Source organism: Homo sapiens, chromosome 21 (genome assembly GCF_000001405.40).
Source record: "Homo sapiens chromosome 21, GRCh38.p14 Primary Assembly".
Lineage (NCBI taxonomy): Eukaryota > Metazoa > Chordata > Mammalia > Primates > Hominidae > Homo > Homo sapiens.
Window position 1 is genome coordinate 42876991 of NC_000021.9, and position 16281 is coordinate 42893271.

Below are 16281 nucleotides of genomic sequence, written 5' to 3' on the forward strand. Positions count from 1 at the left end.
ACTTTTTGTAGAAACGGGGTTTCTCCATGTTGATCAGGGTGATCTCAAATCCCCAACCTCAGGTGATCCACCAACCTCAGCCTCCCAAAGTGCTCACAGGTGTGAGCCACTGCGCCTGGCCCATGTGAGCCACTGCGCCTGGCCCTAATTTTTTTTTTTTTTTTTTTTTTTGAGTTGGAGTCTCGCTCTATCACTCAGGCTGGAGTGCAAGGGCATGATCTCAGGTCACTGCAACCTCCCCCTCCTGGATTCAAGCAATTCTCCCGCCTCAGCCTTCCCGGTAGCTGGAATTACAGGTATCTGCCACCACGCCTGGCTAATTTTTGTAGTTTTGGTAGAGACGGGGTTTCGCCATGTTGGCCAGGCTGGTCTCAAGCTCCTGACCTCAGATGATCTGCCCGCCTCAGCCTCCCAAAGTGCTGAGATTATAGGCAGAGCCACTGCGCCCAGCCTAACAATGATTTTTAAAAGAGCACTTTGTTAAAAAAAAAAAAAAAAAGTTGATTTTTTTTCTCTGTGGAACAAAAAATATTTGCACACTCATTAAATTAAAAGTTGTATACTTGACAAGAAAACTGTCTAGATACAATATTTCAGGGAACAGTTAACAAACTTTATTTGCTTAATCTCTTATTGGAGTACGTCATACTGCATAGTTCTGTGGGAAAAAAAAGTTCAGTAAAACAAATGAGGGATAAATACTCAACAGGAATTAATATGCTATTCTTTTAGGCACCACAAAATCTATGCGACATGGTTATAAGAAATTACGGGCCGGGCGCGGTGGTTCACGCCTGTAATCCCAGCACTTTGGGAGGCCGAGATGGGCGGATCACGAGGTCAGGAGATCGAGACCAGCCTGGCTAACACAGTGAAACCCCCATCTCCACTAAAAATATAAAAAATTAGCCAGGCATGGTGGCAGGCGCCTGCAGTCCCAACTACTCGGGAGGCTGAGGCAGGAGAATGGCGTGAACCCGGGAGGCGGAGCTTGCAGTGAGCCAAGATCGCGCCACTGCACTCCAGCCTGGGCGACAAAGCGAGACTCCTCAAAAAAAAAAAAAAAGAAAAAAAAGAAATTATGTTCTGATACTGTTGAGCGTTCAGTGGGATTCTGTATACAAATTTCAAAGAGCCATTACTATTTAGAAACATATCTCACCTACCTGAAAGTGTTCCCATGACCCCAGGCACTTACCAACATAAGAATCACCCATTTTCCATACTGAACCTAAACTTCGGTTTATCCCATCCTCACCCCCTGGCACGTATCTTGTACATATTTATAGCCTTTAAAGCGAGTGCACCAAAAAACTTTCCATATGGAACCGTGGACTTGTCTTCCAAGTCAGAAACTCCACCAGCCACTAGAATTTCCTCAAAATGCAAAGACTGAAGGTAAGCAAATCATGTCTAATATATCCACAGCTCACTCTGGCAGATATTAGACCGTGAGTCTCTAAAACAAAATCATCTGGGATATGTGACGGGTTTCTGAGTACAATTTTTGTGAGACCTAACTTAACATCGAATTGGCTTTCTAAAACCAAACGAACAAAAAATATACAGTATATCTGACAGACACGTCGTCCGTTTCAAATATGAAATCACAAATAACCTGGGAAAGGAAACGAGGGGCTGAAACTGACAGCACTACTAATTGCTCCGAGAGTCCTGAGTTAGGACTGTTCCATCAACAAACATTTACTAAGTTAAAAATCCCCTGCGTCGTCCTAGCACTGGCGATACACTAAGGAAGGAGAATAAAATTACGGAAAGCAAAACCCGAGCCGTGCGAAGGGCCACTAGGGAGGTGCGCACTGCGAGCTCCACGTGCACCCTTGGGTTGGGTAAGTGTCGGAGATGACTTGGAGCCCTAAGGAGCAATTAAGGCCAGGTGAGTGGATGCAGGCCGGGAAGAGGGAACAGACAACCCTGCAAAAAGAGGGAGCGCGCTTGGAGGTCAGTGAGCTCGCAGTGAGTAAGCCCCTCCCTTCTCACCAGGGAGACCCGAGACCCGCTTCTTCCCAGTTCTGCAGAGCGTGTTCGGCCGGGCCTTGCTGACTGGTCAGCGTCGCCCCACGTGCTCTACCTACCCGGTCCCCGCCGGCGCCGCGGAGACCGGAAGCGACCCGGCGGCGCTAACCGGGCAAGAACACCGCAGACCAGCCATCTAGTGCAAGGAGCGCGCCGGAGCCGGGGAGCGGACGCCGAGAGCGGACGGCGAAAGCGGACCCTCCAGGCGCAGAGACGCGGCCAGGCCGAGACTGCGGCGGAGGACTCGTGGGCTGGAGCGGAGTTCCCCGGGGTCACCCCAGAGTGGGTGCGACCAGGCGGTGCGGGAGAAGCGGGGTCGCCAGGACCCGACGCGCGCCCGCAGCCTGGTCTCCCTGTTCCAAGACCAAGGCCCCCTCACCTGCTTGCTATGGAGGTGGCCAGGAATCGGCTGCCGCCCCGCACCACCAACGTCTGCCCGCACAACGCCAGTCCCACAGAGCCCGCCATGTACCCGCCCGCCTCACCGCCATACACATGTGCCAGCCCAGAGCCTCTTCCTGTCCGCACCGGTCGGTGACGCCAGGCGCAGACGCCGAGAGATGACGTATACCCCACGTACCGCGCATGCTCAAGGACGAGCCTGCCTTGAGCATGCGTGAAAGGTGCTGTGACCGCCCTCCGGGTTGTGGCTGGTGGCCTTCGGTGTTTCGGGTTTGGCAGTTCACTCACCAAGGTGATCTGATGGAGTGCACTTCGCACGATTCCAAGTACTTGCCTAATGTTCATCCTTTCCTCTAGACGGGGTAGGGCTGGTTCTGGATCTTTTTCCGCGGTAGCTGGAGAGACGTAGGACCTGATGATGGCTACTAGATGCCTGGTAAATGATCCTTCAAGAAGTGAATGAACCGGGGGCCGTGGCTCACATGAAGTCAGCAGTTCGAGAGCAGCCTGACCAATATGGTGAAACCCCGTTTCTACTAAAAGTACAAAAATTTGTTGGGCGTGGTGGCGTGCGACTGTAGCCCCAACTACTTGGGAGGCTGAGACAGAAGAATTGCCTGAACCCGGGAGGCGGAGGTTGCAGTGAGTCGAGATCGCCCCCGCTGCACTCCAGCCAGGGCGACAGAGCGAGACTCTCTCTCAAAAAAAAAAAAAATGTCCAAGATGTGGTCATGGGTGAGGGTGTCTCGGGTGGCGTCAAGTCTGAGGTCGCTAGAAGTAAGCCTACTGAATCTTTGCACTTAGACAAGCCACAGATGCCTTAAAATCTCCGAACTGTAGTGATATTTTCAACCCAAACTATGGTTAGTTTCCAGTGTTCATCCCAAGATCCCCAAAAGCCTCTTACAATCCCAGCATCAGGCACAAAATCTAGGATCTCACGGTCTGTTTTAGATTGGCTTGTCCGGTGCAGCTCCTCTTGATCCAGAGACTTACAAACTAAAAAGATTAATTTTCTCTCCCGTGCACGCAATATATGATGGTGAGCCGGGACCAGATAACCACAATAAATACTTGCATGTGAAAATGAGAAGAGGAGGAGACACAGTAATCACTGGTCCAAAGCAATTCTGAAATCCTACTGGAAGATGTTTTCAGGCCCTACAAGAATAAGAAGTCTTAACCAGGCCCGAGTTCTGCTTCCTGGGAGTATCTCCCCAGGCTGTATCTCAGCACAGCTCTTGCCTCTGCCCTCTTGGGTGTCCCTCCTTTTCCAGCACCTTCTTGGCCATGTTGAAGAATGTGCCCTTTGAGAAACTTTCTCAACCTCCTTCCTGTCATTAGCAAATTGTGAGCCCACAGACCTTTTTTCACTCTAAACTGTTCTGTCCACATTTTGGCAGCTGGTGGTGCTTTGTTCACTACAAGTCCCTTAAAAGCTTTATGGGCTTCTCAAGAATCTGATTCAGGTGCTCTCCATGCCCAAGAAGCCACTCCCACTAGTCTTTTTTTTTTTTTTAGACGGAGTCTCGCTCTGTCGCCCAGGCTGAAGTGCAACCTCCACCTCCCGAGTTCACGCCATTCTCCTGCCTCAGCCTCCTGAGTAGCTGGGACTACAGGCGCCCGCCACCACGCCTGGCTAATTTTTTGTATTTTTCAGTGGAGACGGGGTTTCACCATGTTAGCCAGGATGTTCTGGATCTCCTGACCTTGTGATCCGCCTGCCTCGGCCTCCCAAAGTGCTGGGATTACAGGCGTGAGCCACCGCGCCCAGCCACTTGTTAACATTTAAATCATTGAGATCACCTTGACTTCAGCATTATTCTTAAGGCCATATTTTATTAGCGCCACTCTGAATTTGATCTTTGGCCCAGGTTATGACTTACTTTGAGAACTTGTTACCAACTATTGGGTCTAATAATACTTTCCCCAGCTTCAACCCAAAGTGTGCTCTAAATTCTGCTGGCCAGTTTGTTTGTTTGTTTGTTTTTAACCACACTCTTTTCTATAAGTGTCTCAACATATTCAAGCAAAAGAAACACAGGTTAATCTCAACATTATACTGATATGATCTTTTTCAAGTCCCAGAGTTCAGTAGTTGCCTTTTTCTCTGCCCATCTTACTGAAGGGCAACAATTTTACAAATCCTTCACCGTGACATAGAGTTGTTCACCATTTGTCCACCTCCCGTAGTTTTCCTCACCATTGTTCCAGTGTTCACTACCAGTTTCCCCACTGCTTTTCCAGACTTCTAGTCCAAAGCTAATGCCACATGTTACAGTAGCACCTACTGCTAGGTACAAATGTCTGTAGCATGCATATCTTCCTTGTAGTCCTAGATATAGATCAACAAGCTCATAAAAACTATGGCTTTCTTTTTTTCTTTTTTTTTGAGGCGGAGTTTCACTCTTGTTGCCCAGGCTGGAGTGCAATGGCGTGATCTCCGCTCACCAAAACCTCTGCCTCCCGGGTTCAAGCGATTCTGCATCAGCCTCCCAAGTAGCTGGAATTACAGGCATGTGCCACCGTGCCCAGCTAATTTTGTATTTTTAGTAGAGACGGGGTTTCACCATGTTGGCCAGGCTGGTCTCAAACTCCTGACCTCAATTGATTCTCCTACCTTGGCCTCCCAAAGTGCTGGGATTACAGGCGTGATCCATGATCCATGTTAGTCAGGCTGGTCTCAAACTCCTGACCTCAGGTGATCTGCCCGCCTCGGCCTCCCAAAGTGTTGGGATTACAGGCGTGAGCCACTGCACCCGGCCCAACTATGGCCATTTTTATAAATCATTGATTACATTAGCCTAGAGTGAGTGTGGGCTTTCTTTTTCAATTAAGAAACTTATGGATTGGCCGGGTGCAGTGGCTCACACCTGTAATCCCAACACTTTAGGAGGCCAAGGCGAGCAGATCACCTGAGGTCAGGAGTTTGAGACCAGCCTGGCCAACACGGTGAAACCCCATCTCTACTAAAAATACAAAAATTAGCTGGGCTTGGTGGCATGCACCTGTAATCCCAGCTACTCAGAAGGCTGAGGCAGGAGAATCACTAGAACCCAGGAGGTGGAGGTTACAGTGAGCCAAGATCACCCATTGCATTCCAGCCTGGGCAACAAGGGTGAAACTCCATCTCAGAAAAAAGAAAAAAAAAACTTATGGATTGTTGTGTTGTATTTCTAGTCCTGTCCTGAGCAAAAGGTATTAGGAACCTGAGAATCCTTCCATTAGCACAATAGAAAAATGGGCAAAAAGGCCAGGCACGGTGACTCACACCTGTAATCCCAGCACTTTGGGAGGCCAAGGTAGGAGAATCAATTGAGGTCAGAAGTTTGAGACCAGCCTGGCCAACATGGGGAAACCCCATCTCTACTAAAAATACAAAAATCAGGCTGGGCGCAGTGGCTAACGCCTGTAATCCCAGCACTTTGAGAGGCCAAGGCAGGTGGATCATCTGAGGTCAGGAGTTTGAGACCAGCCTGGCCAACATAGTGAAACCCCGTCTGTACTAAAAATACAAAAATTAGCCGGGCATGGTGGCGGACGCCTGTAGTCCCAGCTACTTGGGAGGCTGAGGCAGGACAACCGCTTGAACGTGGGAGGTGGAGGTTGCAATAAGCCGAGATCATGCCACTGCACTCCAGCCTGGGTGACGGAGCAAGACTCCGTCTCAAAAAAAAAAAAAAAAAAATAGAAAAATCAGCTGGGAGTGGTGGTGCGTGCCTGTAGTCCCAGATACTCAGGAGGCTGAGGTACGAGAATCACTTGAACCGAGGAGGTGGAGATTGCAGTGAGCCGAGATTGCGCCACTGCACTCCAACCCGAGTAACAGAGTGAGACTCTGTCTCAAAAAAAAAAAAAAAAAGAAAAATGGGCAAGAAGTTACCCTTTTTTTTTTTTTTTTTACAAACTGGCAAGACGACATAAGCATTGTCTTATGGTCCTTCAGTTAAAAAAAAAATTGTGTAAAAACAAAAATGGACAAAGACCCATTAATTTCATGGTGGTTGTAGTGGGTTGAAAGGTGGCCCCCTAAAATGTATGTCCACCCCTGGAAACTGGGGATGTGACCTTTTTTGGGGAAAGGGTCTTTTCTAATGTGATTAAGTTAAGGATTGCAAAATGAGAGCATCCTGGATTTGGGTGGACCCTAAATCGAATGTTATGTGTACTGAGAAGAGAAGGGAGAAGACAGAGGAGAATGCCAGATGAAGACAGAAACAGAGATTGAAGTTATGTGGCCATAATTCAAGGATTGCTGGCAACACCAGAAGCCAAGAGAAAGATGAGGAAGAATTCTCCCCTAGACCTTTCAGAAGGAGCGTGGCCCAGCCAACACCCTGACTTCAGACTTCTGGCCTCCAGAACTGTGAGAATAAATTCTTACTGTTGTAATCCACCTGATATGTGGTAATGTGTACATTTCAGTGGGTTTTAGTATATATACAGAATTGTGCATCCATCACCACAATTTTAGAACATTTTCATCACCCACAAAATAAATCTTAAACCCAGTAGCAGTCACTCCCCCTTTCACCCTCCCCATAAACCCCTGGTAACCATTAATCTACTTTGTTTTATGGATTTTGCTAGTCTGGACATTTCATATAATCTGGCTTCTGTCACTGAATATTAGGTTTCCAAGGTTCATGGATATTGTAGCATGTATCAGTACTTCACTGCTTTTCATGGCCGAATAATATTCCACTGAATGCATATATCACATATATCACATTTTGTTTATCTGCTCATTGGTTGATAGGCAGTTTGGGATTTCCCACCTTTTGGCTATAATGAATAATGGTGTTGTGAACATTCCACTGGGAATGGAATTGTTGAGTCATATGGTAACATTTAAACTTTTCAGGAACTGGCCAGGTGTGGTGGATTGAACCTGGGAGGTAGAGGTTGCAATGAGCTGAGATTGCGCCACTGCACTCCAGCCTGGGTGATGGATCACACCTGTAATCCCAGCACTTTGGGAGGCCGAGGTGGGTGGATCACAAGGTCAGGAGTTCGAAATCAGCCTGACCAACATTGTGAAACCCCACTTCTACTAAAAATACAAAAATTAGCTGGTCGTGGTGTTGCGTACCTGTAATCCCAGCTACTCAGGAGGCTGAGGCAGGAGAATCACTTGAACCCGGGAGGCAGAGGTTGCAGTGAGCCGAGATCACGCCATTGCACTCCAGCCTGGGCAACAGAGCCAGACTCCACCTCAAAAAAAAAAAAGTCCTTTTCAGGGACCGCCAAGCTGATTCACAAAGTGGCTACAGCACTTTATAGTCCCACCAGCACTACATTGTGGTTCCAGTTTCTCCACATCCTCACCATCACTTGTTATTATGTCTTTTTTGTTTGTTTTTTTCCGACAGAGTCTCACTGTGTCCCCCAGTCTGAAGTGCAATGGTGCAATCCAGCTCACTGCAACCTCCCTCTCTGAGCTTCAAGTGATTCTCCTGCCTCAGCCTCCCAAGTAGCTGGGATTATAGGCACATGCCACCACACCCAGCTAATTTTTGTATTTTTGATAGAGACGGGGTTTCACCATGTTGGCCAGGCTGGTCTCGAATGCCTGACTTCAAGTGATCCGCCCGCCTTGGCTTCCCAAATTGCTGGGATTACAGGCGTGAACCAACGCATCTGGACACATATTATGTTTCTAAATAGGTGTGGGTCTCTCATTGAACTGTTATATTCTACTGTCAAATTGTCTCTCCATGAATAAATACCACACAGACCTAATCACCCTAGCAGCGTATTAAGATGTAATAACTTCTAGGGCAAGTCTTCACCCTTTTTTCCTCACATTTTCCCCCTTCTCCTCCTCTCTTCTTCCTCCTCCAAGAAAGCCTTGGGTATTCATAGCCCTTTATTACTTCCATATAAATGTTATAATTAGGGCCTGGCACGGTGGCTCATGCCTGTAATCCTAGCACTTTGGGAAGCCGAGGCAGGCAGACCACCTAAGGTCAGGAGTTCGAGACCAGCCTGGCCAACATGGTGAAACCCCATCTCTACTAAAAATACAAAATTAGCCGGGCATGGTGGCACGTGCCTGTAATCCCAGCTACTCTGGAGGCTGAGGCAGGAGAACCACTGAACCCAGGAGGCAGAGGTTGCAGTGAGCTGAGATCGCACCATTGCACTCCAGCCTGGGCAAAAAGCGCAAAACTCCATCAAAAAAAAATATATAGATAGATAGATATAAATTAGGTTATCAATTTCCCCCAAAATCCCTGCTAGGATATTGATTAGAATGTAATTGAATGTATTTTATATATATTAAATCTGTCCCCAGGCTGTTCCCCAGGCTGGAGTACAGTAATACAATCACAGCTCACTGCAGCCTTGACCTCCTCGGCTCAAGTGGATTGTCCCATCTTGGTCTCCTGAGTGGCTGGGACTACAGGTGTACATGACCATGACCCATTAACTTTTAAGTTTTTTGTAGAGACGGGGGTCTTGTTCTGTTGCCCAGGCTAGTGCCAAATCCCCAGCTTCAGGCAATCCTCCCACCTCAGCATAGATTTTTTTTTTTTTTTTTTTTGAGACAGTCTTGCTCTGTCACCCAGGCTGGAGTACAGTGGCATCATCTCGGCTCACTGCAACCTCCACCTGCTGGGTTCAGGCGATTCTCCTGTCTCAGCCTCCCGAGTAGCTGGGACTACAGGCATGTGCCACCAAGCCCAGCTAATTTTTGTATTTTTAGTAGAGACAGGGTTTTGCCATGTTGGCCAGGCTGGTCTCGAACTCCTGACGTCAGGCAATCCCACCGCCTTGGCCTCCCAAAGTGCTGGGATTACAGGCATGAGCCACCGTGCCCAGCCTAGATTTTTTTTAAGAACATTCACGTTTACAATATTTAGGAGCACCTTTTCCTCTTGATTTATTAATGTCTTACAATAAAATATTATCATCTTATTCAGAAAGCGTATGCACAAAATTTTAAATTTTATTTTTAGCAAAAAAATAGGCGATTTTGCTAGTGTACATGGGATCCTTTTAAAATTTTGTGTTTGTTGTTGGTGTCTAGAAATACAATTGACTTTTGTAAATTGTTCACACGTCCAGCAGTTTTGCTGAATTCTTGAATTCATTTCAATGATGTTTCTAGATGTTCCATGGGCTTTGCTAGCAAACACTGCCAGTTTGCCCACCACTTTGCCAGCGTAAGGCCTGTGCCCCCAGATATATTCCCAGCCTTTTGGGGAGGAGCGGGGAGCCCCTGCAGGCTGTGCTTCTCAGCCTTTGGGTCATTGCCCGCCGAGCTTTACATTTGTTTACATTTCTTTTTAATGCTAATGGTATCATGTGTGGTCTGTAAGTGTCTATATGTGTAGTTTTAGTAAGTCTTAACTTTTTATAAACCAGCAGCCTCCTGGCCGGGGATAGCCAATAGCCCCAGCCCACTGAAAGCCTGGTGAGCAGAAAGGGAAGAGAAACAAGGGTGTTCATTCACTGGTAGGATGTGTTTCCTGAACGGCTCCTGCTCCTGCTGGACAAGCCCACAGAGGGCCCAGCTTCCAACAGGTGAGCCTTCATGCCCCACCACTACTTTTTATTTGATTTGATTTTATTTTTAGACGGAGTTTCACTCTTGTTGCCCAGGCTGGAGTGCAATGGCGCAATCTCGAGTCACTGCAACCTCTGCCTTCTGAGTTCAAGTGATTCTCCTGCCTCAGCCTCCCGAGTAGCTGGGATTACAGGCAAGCACCACCATGCCCGGCTAATTTTGTATTTTTAGTAGAGACGGGGTTTCTCCGTGTTGGTCAGGCTGGTCTAGAACTCCCAACCTCAGGTGATCCGCCCACCTTGGCCTCCCAAAGTTCTGGGATTACAGGTGTGGGCCACGGCGCCTGGCCTAATTTTTTTTTTTTTTTTTTTTATTTTATAAAGAGGCAGAGTCTCACTATTGCCCAATCTGGTCTCAAACTCCAGGGCTCAAGCAATCCTCCTGCCTCAGCCTCCTAAAGTGCAGAAATTACAGGCATGAGCCACCACATCTGGACCCAGCCTCTACTTGTTACTGCAATATGCAATTTGGAGCGACTTAACTGCTCACGAGGAAATGTCTCGTGTCACACGGCATTTTAAGTAGATACTTAGAGCACTTGAGCTCACCACAGTAGCAACAGGAGGTGGTTGTGAAAGATTCCAGTAGTGAGGTATGTGCTAACATTAGTTTTATGCAGTTGTGATTGAATACTGCATCTTTACATTTACGTTTCTCTCAACTGTGAATGCTGCCATGTGTGGTCTCTGTTTCTGTATAAAAGTTTTAATAAATTTACCAGCCTGGCCAACATGGTGAAACCCTGTCTCTACTAAAAATACAAAACTTAGCCGGGCGTGGTGGCGTGTGCCTGTAATCCGAGTTACTCGGGAGGCTGAGGCAGGAGAACTGCTTGAGCCCGGGTAGCAGAGGTTGCAGTGAGTGAGCCAAGATCGTGCTACTGCACTCCAGCCTGAGTGACAAAGCAAGACTCCGTGTCAAAAAAAAAACAAAAACAAAAACAAAAAAAGTTTTTATAAATTTTAATATTTTATCATCAATTTGAGTATATTTTAGGTAGTAAATGATAAAATTAGTATCTACATATATTTTATGCATTCATGACATACCATTTTCTTAATTTTTCAGTATTTCTAGGCTATGTGGTTCATCCTAGTTTTGACAAATTATTTCATTCCTACAAAAAATTTTTCAATATATTTGTTGAAAAAAGCTACATATAAGTGGACCCACATAGCTCAAACCCATCTATGCCCTACAAGTGTCAACTGAGCGAACATAGATAGATACATAGAGAGCTAGATATAGATATAAGTATCTATATTATGAATATCAGCCAGGCACAGTGGCTCACCCCTGTAATCTCAGCACTTTGGGAGGCCAAGGCCGGTGTACTACTTGAGCTCAACAGTTCCAGACCAGCCTAGGCAACATGGTGAAACCCTGTCTCTACAAAAAATACAAAAATTAGCCAGGTGTGGTACTGTGCACCTGTAGTCCCAGCTACTTGAGAGGCTGAAGTAGGAGAATCACCTGAGCCTGAGAAAGTCAAGGATGCAGTGAGCCGAGATAGAGCCACTGCACTCCAGCCTGGGTGACAGAGTGAGACCCTGTCTCCAATAAATAAATAAATCAATAAATATCATACATATGTGTTTCCTATTGGTTTTTTTTTTTCTGGAAAACCCTATCTATCACACTGGCCAAATTTTGAAGTATTTGAGCTCACAATAAATATACAGTATAAAGGTTTATAATTTTTTTTTTTTTTTTTTAGAGACAGAGTCTTGCTCTGTCACCCAGGATGGAGTGCAGTAGAGTGATCTCAGCTCACTGCAACCTCTGCCTCCTGGATTCAAGCAATTCTCCTGCCTCTGCCTCCCGAGTAGCTGGGATTACAGGTGCCCACCACCACACCCAGCTAATTTTTGTTGTATTTTTAGTAGCGACAGGGTTTCACCACGTTGGCCAGGCTGGTCTCGAACTCCATACCTCAGGTGATCTGCCCGCCTTGGCCTCCCAAAGTGCTGAGACTACAGGCATGAGCCACTATGCCCAGCCTCTAAATTTATCTTTGATTGCATCTGATCTTTATTTAATCTAGGGTTCAATCTATATATATATAGATTGAAATTGTTCAAGCAATTCTCCTGCCTCAGCCTCCCGAGTAGCTGAGATTACAGGTATATGCCACCATGCCCAGCTAATTTTTGTATTTTTAGTAGAGACGGGGTTTCACCATGTTGGCCAGGCTGGTCTCAAACTCCTGACCTCAGAAGATCCGCCAACCTCGGCCTCCCAAAGTGCTGCGATTACAGACTTGAGCCACTGCGCCTGGCCAATTTTTGGTTTTTTAAAACTTGAGATGTCCTGAAACACAGGAAGTATATGTGTTTTTTAACTTCAAACTTAAGTAAGAATAGGCCTTGAGACATTTTTCCCCACTCAAAACCCAGGCTGGCTCTACACATTTCCTTGCTAGCAGATTGCTTTGCCCAGGGTCACCCATCACTGACATGTAGCCCTGCAAGGGTGGCAACTTCCTCTGGCGATTTCCAGCCCACTCCCAAGTGTTCTAGCCCCAAGGTCTCATGTTCTCTGAAGTCTGTTACACCAGAGCTCTGGCTGCTGAGACCAGTGCATGCTTCCAGGGTGGCACTGCTGCCTGTGATTTCTTGCTACTTCTCTGTTTTTTTTGGATCCCTAGAGATATCCTTTACTTGATTATATGGTCATTTGAAATTATGCCTGTAACCTTTTACCCAGAATTACTACATGATTTGGAGCCCAAGGGTTTTCCATAACTTTTTTTCTTTTTAATTCGAGAAGGAGTTTCGTTCTGCTGCCCAGTCTGGAGTGCATTGGCACCATCTCAGCTCACTGCAACCTCGGCCTCCTGGGTTCACAGCTCCCGGCCAGTTTTCCATAATATCTAGTGACCAAATATTGCCAGAAATAGAACTTATTACTTGTGTTTTAAAACACAATTTTAGGCCCATGTGCAATGGCTTGTGCCTGTAACCTAGTGCTTTAGGAGGCCGAGGTGGGAAGATTGCTTGAGCCCTGGAGTTTGAAACTGTAGTGAGCTATAACCAAGCCACTGCACTCCAGCCTGGGTGACAGAGTAAGAACCTAAAAGAAAAAAATATATATATTATATATACCAGAATACAGAGCTGAGGCATGCATGCGAATGGTGTGATATTTGAGTATTTTTATTTTCCTCTTTGGCCCAAACACCTTGGAGTTAAATGTTCAGAGTATGGATCCAAGTGATCCTGTTGTAATCCAGTTATCCTAAAAAGAAGTTCGGCCAGGCACGGTGGCTCACGACTGTAAATCCCAGCACTTTAGGAGGCCGAGGTGGGGGATCACAAGGTCAAGAGTTCGAGACCAGCTTGACCAACATGGTGAAACCCTGTCTCTACTAAAAATACAAAAAAATTAGCTGGGCATGGTGGCACACGCCTGTAATCCCAGCTACTCGGGAGGTTGAATCAGAAGAATCTCTTGAACCCAGGAGGCGGAGGTTTCAGTGAGCCAAGATCGCGCCACTGCACTCCAGCCTGGGCAGCAGAGCGAGACTCCGTCTCAAAAAAAAGAAGTTTAACTGACCCTTGGGAGACACAAGGGGGAGCCTCTAGTAGTTCAGGTAGAACTTTGTGTGATCTACAAAGAAAGGAATATAAACAAACATACACTTTTAAGGTTTTGTGTTAAAATGCTGGGTACTACTTGCTAGAGCTACAGGCAGAGTTGATGGTGCCCACAGAAAGACTCTGGGCAGAGAGTTAACTGGAGGAACAGCCTCTGCTGTCGGAAAAATCTAGTCTACTATTTTCTAGCTGATTGGAAAATACAATAATGTATTTGGCCTCTGCTTTTTTTATTTTAATGCAGCACCTTATATTTGCTTCTTGCACTTGGCCCTGTCCTTTCTCTTTGGCCAAACACAGTTTAGGCCACAGTTACCTCCCAACCAGGCTGCATAGGCTTCCCAGCCTTCCTGCTCCCTCTAGTCTTAGGCACTGGCCTCACACATGGTTGCCCTAGTTACCTTTCGAGGCCCTAATCACTTCCTTCAAAAACCATCAAGATGGCTAAGCATAGTGGCTCATGGCTGTAATCCCAGCACTTTGGGAGGCCGATGCAGGCAGATCACTTGAGGTCAAGAGTTACAAACCAGCCTGACCAACATGGTGAAACACTATCTCTACTAAAAATACAAAAATTAGATGGGCATGGTGGCGGCGCCTGTAATCCCAGCTACTGGGGAGGCTGAGGCAAGAGAATCACTTGAACCCAGGAGGCGGAGGTTGCAGTAAGCCGAGATTGCCCCTGCGCCACTGCACTCTAGCCTGGGCAACAGAGTGAGATTCTGTCTCAAAAAAAAAAAAAAAATCAAGATGGTTCATGCCCCCTCAACCATAGGTACCCCACCTTTACCAACCTGGCCGGTGACCACGCCAGAGGAGGTCTTTTCTTTTTGTTTCTTCTTGAGTGTTGCAACTCCAGCAAGATGTCAACATCTGCCGCATGTGCCCGCTGGTGGTGGTGTGGAAGTGGGGAGCTCCAGGTCCATGAAGGAGGGTGACGTGGATCTTCCAATTCCAGATCAGGATCCCCAAATTTGTTACTAAGCTGTGAATTATTAAGCACACCTCACAAAGGCGAGCATGACCTTTTCCCTGGACACAACAGAATGAGCCTAGTGGTGAAGAAAAAAAAAATCTGGCCGGGTGTAGTGGCTCACGCCTGTAACCCCAGCACTTTGGGAGGCCGAGGCGGGCGATCATTTGAGGTCAGGAGTTCGAGACCAGTCTGGCCAACATGGTGAAACCCCGTCGCTACTAAAAATACAAAAATTAGCCGGGCGTGGTGGCTCATGCCTGTTGTCCCAGCTACTCAGGAGGCTGAGGGAGGAGAATCGCTTGAACCTAGGAAGTGGAGCTTGCAGTGAGCCTAGATTGTGCCACTGTACTCCAGCCTGGGCAACAGAGCAAGACTCTGTCTCAAAAAAAAAAATTTAGGCCAGGCACAGTGGCTCACACCTGTAATCCCAGGGCTTTGGGAGGCCGAGACGGGTGGATCACGAGGTCAGGAGATGGAGACCATCCTGGCTAACACGGTGAAACCCTGTCTCTACTAAAAATTACAAAAATTTAGCCGGGCGTGGTGGCGGGTGCCTGTAGTCCCAGCTACTCGGGAGGCTGAGGCAAGAGAATGGCGTGAACCCGGGAGGCGGAGCTTGCAATGAGCCAAGATGGCGCCACTGCACGCCAGCCTGGGCTACAGAGCAAGACTCCGTCTCAAAAAAAAAAAAAAAATTTAAACAAAAAAAAAATCTTTTGGCATTTTTTTTTCTCCCTTTAGGGACAAAGGATCCCTTCTCATGATTATCCTAAGATCTAAGGTTATTCTTTTTGCCTCCCAGGGTGGATGGTGGCAGATGCCCTTGCATTTACTTGATAGCAGACTCCTCTTTGATAAAGGCCTTTGATAAAGGCCTCATTCCGCCAGTTTATCTTGCCACCTCAATGAATCGCTAGCTGTGTCAGGAATCCCTACACAATCCATTTAAATGACTGTGGCAGGGCCTCTTCCCCTGTGGAAGCTGAAGGTGGCACGTCCATCTCCGATGAAATGCGAATGGGGCTCTGGGCACGCGGCGGAAGGCAGAGAAGAGGCAGAGAAAGAAGCTAATAACTAATTACACCGACTCCACAATTACGACTAACGTTGGGGACGAACTCTTTGCTAAATAAACATTTAGGTGAAACAAAGCTTCCATTTCCAATCGGCCTAACTCTGGTATTAGCGTTGGCAGGGGCCATGCAGGAGGGGCAGTGAGCAGTGGTGGCCGCGTTGCCGACAGAGGGTGAGGGAGCTGGGCGCGTGGTGTGGGCGCCGAGGTCCCGAGCTGAAGAGCTTTAAAACCTCTCAAAACACAGAACTATCAATCAAGTAGGACCAGACTGTGCCCCCAGGGAAGGTCGCAGATTTAAGGCTGCGAGGACAAGGGCAAAGAAGTGCGAAGCGTTCGGGTGGACATGCAAGCCGGCCCAGCGCAGACGCCTGAGAGGGGTGCCCAGCAGCCCCCGCAGGTCTCCGCCGCGCCCCCGCCACAGCGCCCAGGCGCCCGCAGGGCACAGGGATCGGCACCAGCCGGTGACGTGTCCCTCACGCTGCTGCCTGTGATTGGTGGTCCCGATCCGGGGCGTGGCCCCAAGGGAGGCACTTAGCCCTACTGGGGATGCGCGCGCAGACCCACGGCCTCTGCTCCGCCCCCAGCTGGCCTGTAATTGGCGCAGTCGGCCCAAGGGGCGGCT

General features: G+C 47.7%; 1 protein-coding gene and 1 long non-coding RNA gene across 15 annotated transcripts in view, besides 7 other annotated features; one reads left to right on the top strand and one right to left on the bottom strand.

Moving 5' to 3' along the window:
• Positions 1–16008, bottom strand: part of WDR4 (WDR4 tRNA N7-guanosine methyltransferase non-catalytic subunit) — a 49905-nt gene extending 33897 nt beyond the window's left edge. For 6 of the 12 annotated variants that reach the window (XM_017028264.2, NM_033661.5, NM_001260475.2 and 3 more), the window contains exon 1: positions 2417–2549. In XM_017028264.2, coding sequence (XP_016883753.1) covers positions 2417–2505 — 89 coding nt within the window. In that variant the 5' untranslated portion in view covers positions 2506–2549. 12 annotated transcript variants of the gene reach the window in all.
• Positions 611–1574: an enhancer, noted in NCBI's record as "H3K27ac-H3K4me1 hESC enhancer chr21:44297711-44298674 (GRCh37/hg19 assembly coordinates)". NCBI's record gives its function as "activates a minimal SCP1, AML or CMV promoter by ChIP-STARR-seq in primed H9 embryonic stem cells {active_cell/tissue: H9 hESC(primed)}" and the evidence as "EXISTENCE:reporter gene assay evidence [ECO:0000049][PMID:30033119]".
• Positions 1575–2539: an enhancer, noted in NCBI's record as "NANOG-H3K27ac-H3K4me1 hESC enhancer chr21:44298675-44299639 (GRCh37/hg19 assembly coordinates)". NCBI's record gives its function as "activates a minimal SCP1, AML or CMV promoter by ChIP-STARR-seq in naive H9 embryonic stem cells {active_cell/tissue: H9 hESC(naive)}" and the evidence as "EXISTENCE:reporter gene assay evidence [ECO:0000049][PMID:30033119]".
• Positions 1575–2801: a biological region, named in NCBI's record as "NANOG-H3K27ac-H3K4me1 hESC enhancer GRCh37_chr21:44298675-44299639".
• Positions 2192–2241: an enhancer, noted in NCBI's record as "active region_18533". NCBI's record gives its function as "activates an Ori minimal core promoter by ATAC-STARR-seq in GM12878 lymphoblastoid cells {active_cell/tissue: GM12878}" and the evidence as "EXISTENCE:reporter gene assay evidence [ECO:0000049][PMID:35858748]".
• Positions 2272–2381: an enhancer, noted in NCBI's record as "active region_18534". NCBI's record gives its function as "activates an Ori minimal core promoter by ATAC-STARR-seq in GM12878 lymphoblastoid cells {active_cell/tissue: GM12878}" and the evidence as "EXISTENCE:reporter gene assay evidence [ECO:0000049][PMID:35858748]".
• Positions 2452–2801: an enhancer, noted in NCBI's record as "active region_18535". NCBI's record gives its function as "activates an Ori minimal core promoter by ATAC-STARR-seq in GM12878 lymphoblastoid cells {active_cell/tissue: GM12878}" and the evidence as "EXISTENCE:reporter gene assay evidence [ECO:0000049][PMID:35858748]".
• LOC105372817 (uncharacterized) lies at positions 2722–10742 on the top strand. 3 transcript variants are annotated; one of them, XR_937765.3, is made up of 4 exons: positions 2722–2765; positions 6616–6805; positions 9811–9969; positions 10378–10742. It is a non-coding gene; the product is annotated as an uncharacterized LOC105372817 (long non-coding RNA). The 3 variants fall into 3 exon arrangements; XR_007067880.1 differs by lacking the exons at positions 9811–9969; positions 10378–10742 and having other exon boundaries at positions 2722–2875; positions 6616–6835; XR_937764.3 differs by lacking the exons at positions 9811–9969; positions 10378–10742 and having other exon boundaries at positions 6616–6835.
• Positions 15806–16105: a silencer, noted in NCBI's record as "silent region_13353". NCBI's record gives its function as "represses an Ori minimal core promoter by ATAC-STARR-seq in GM12878 lymphoblastoid cells {active_cell/tissue: GM12878}" and the evidence as "EXISTENCE:reporter gene assay evidence [ECO:0000049][PMID:35858748]".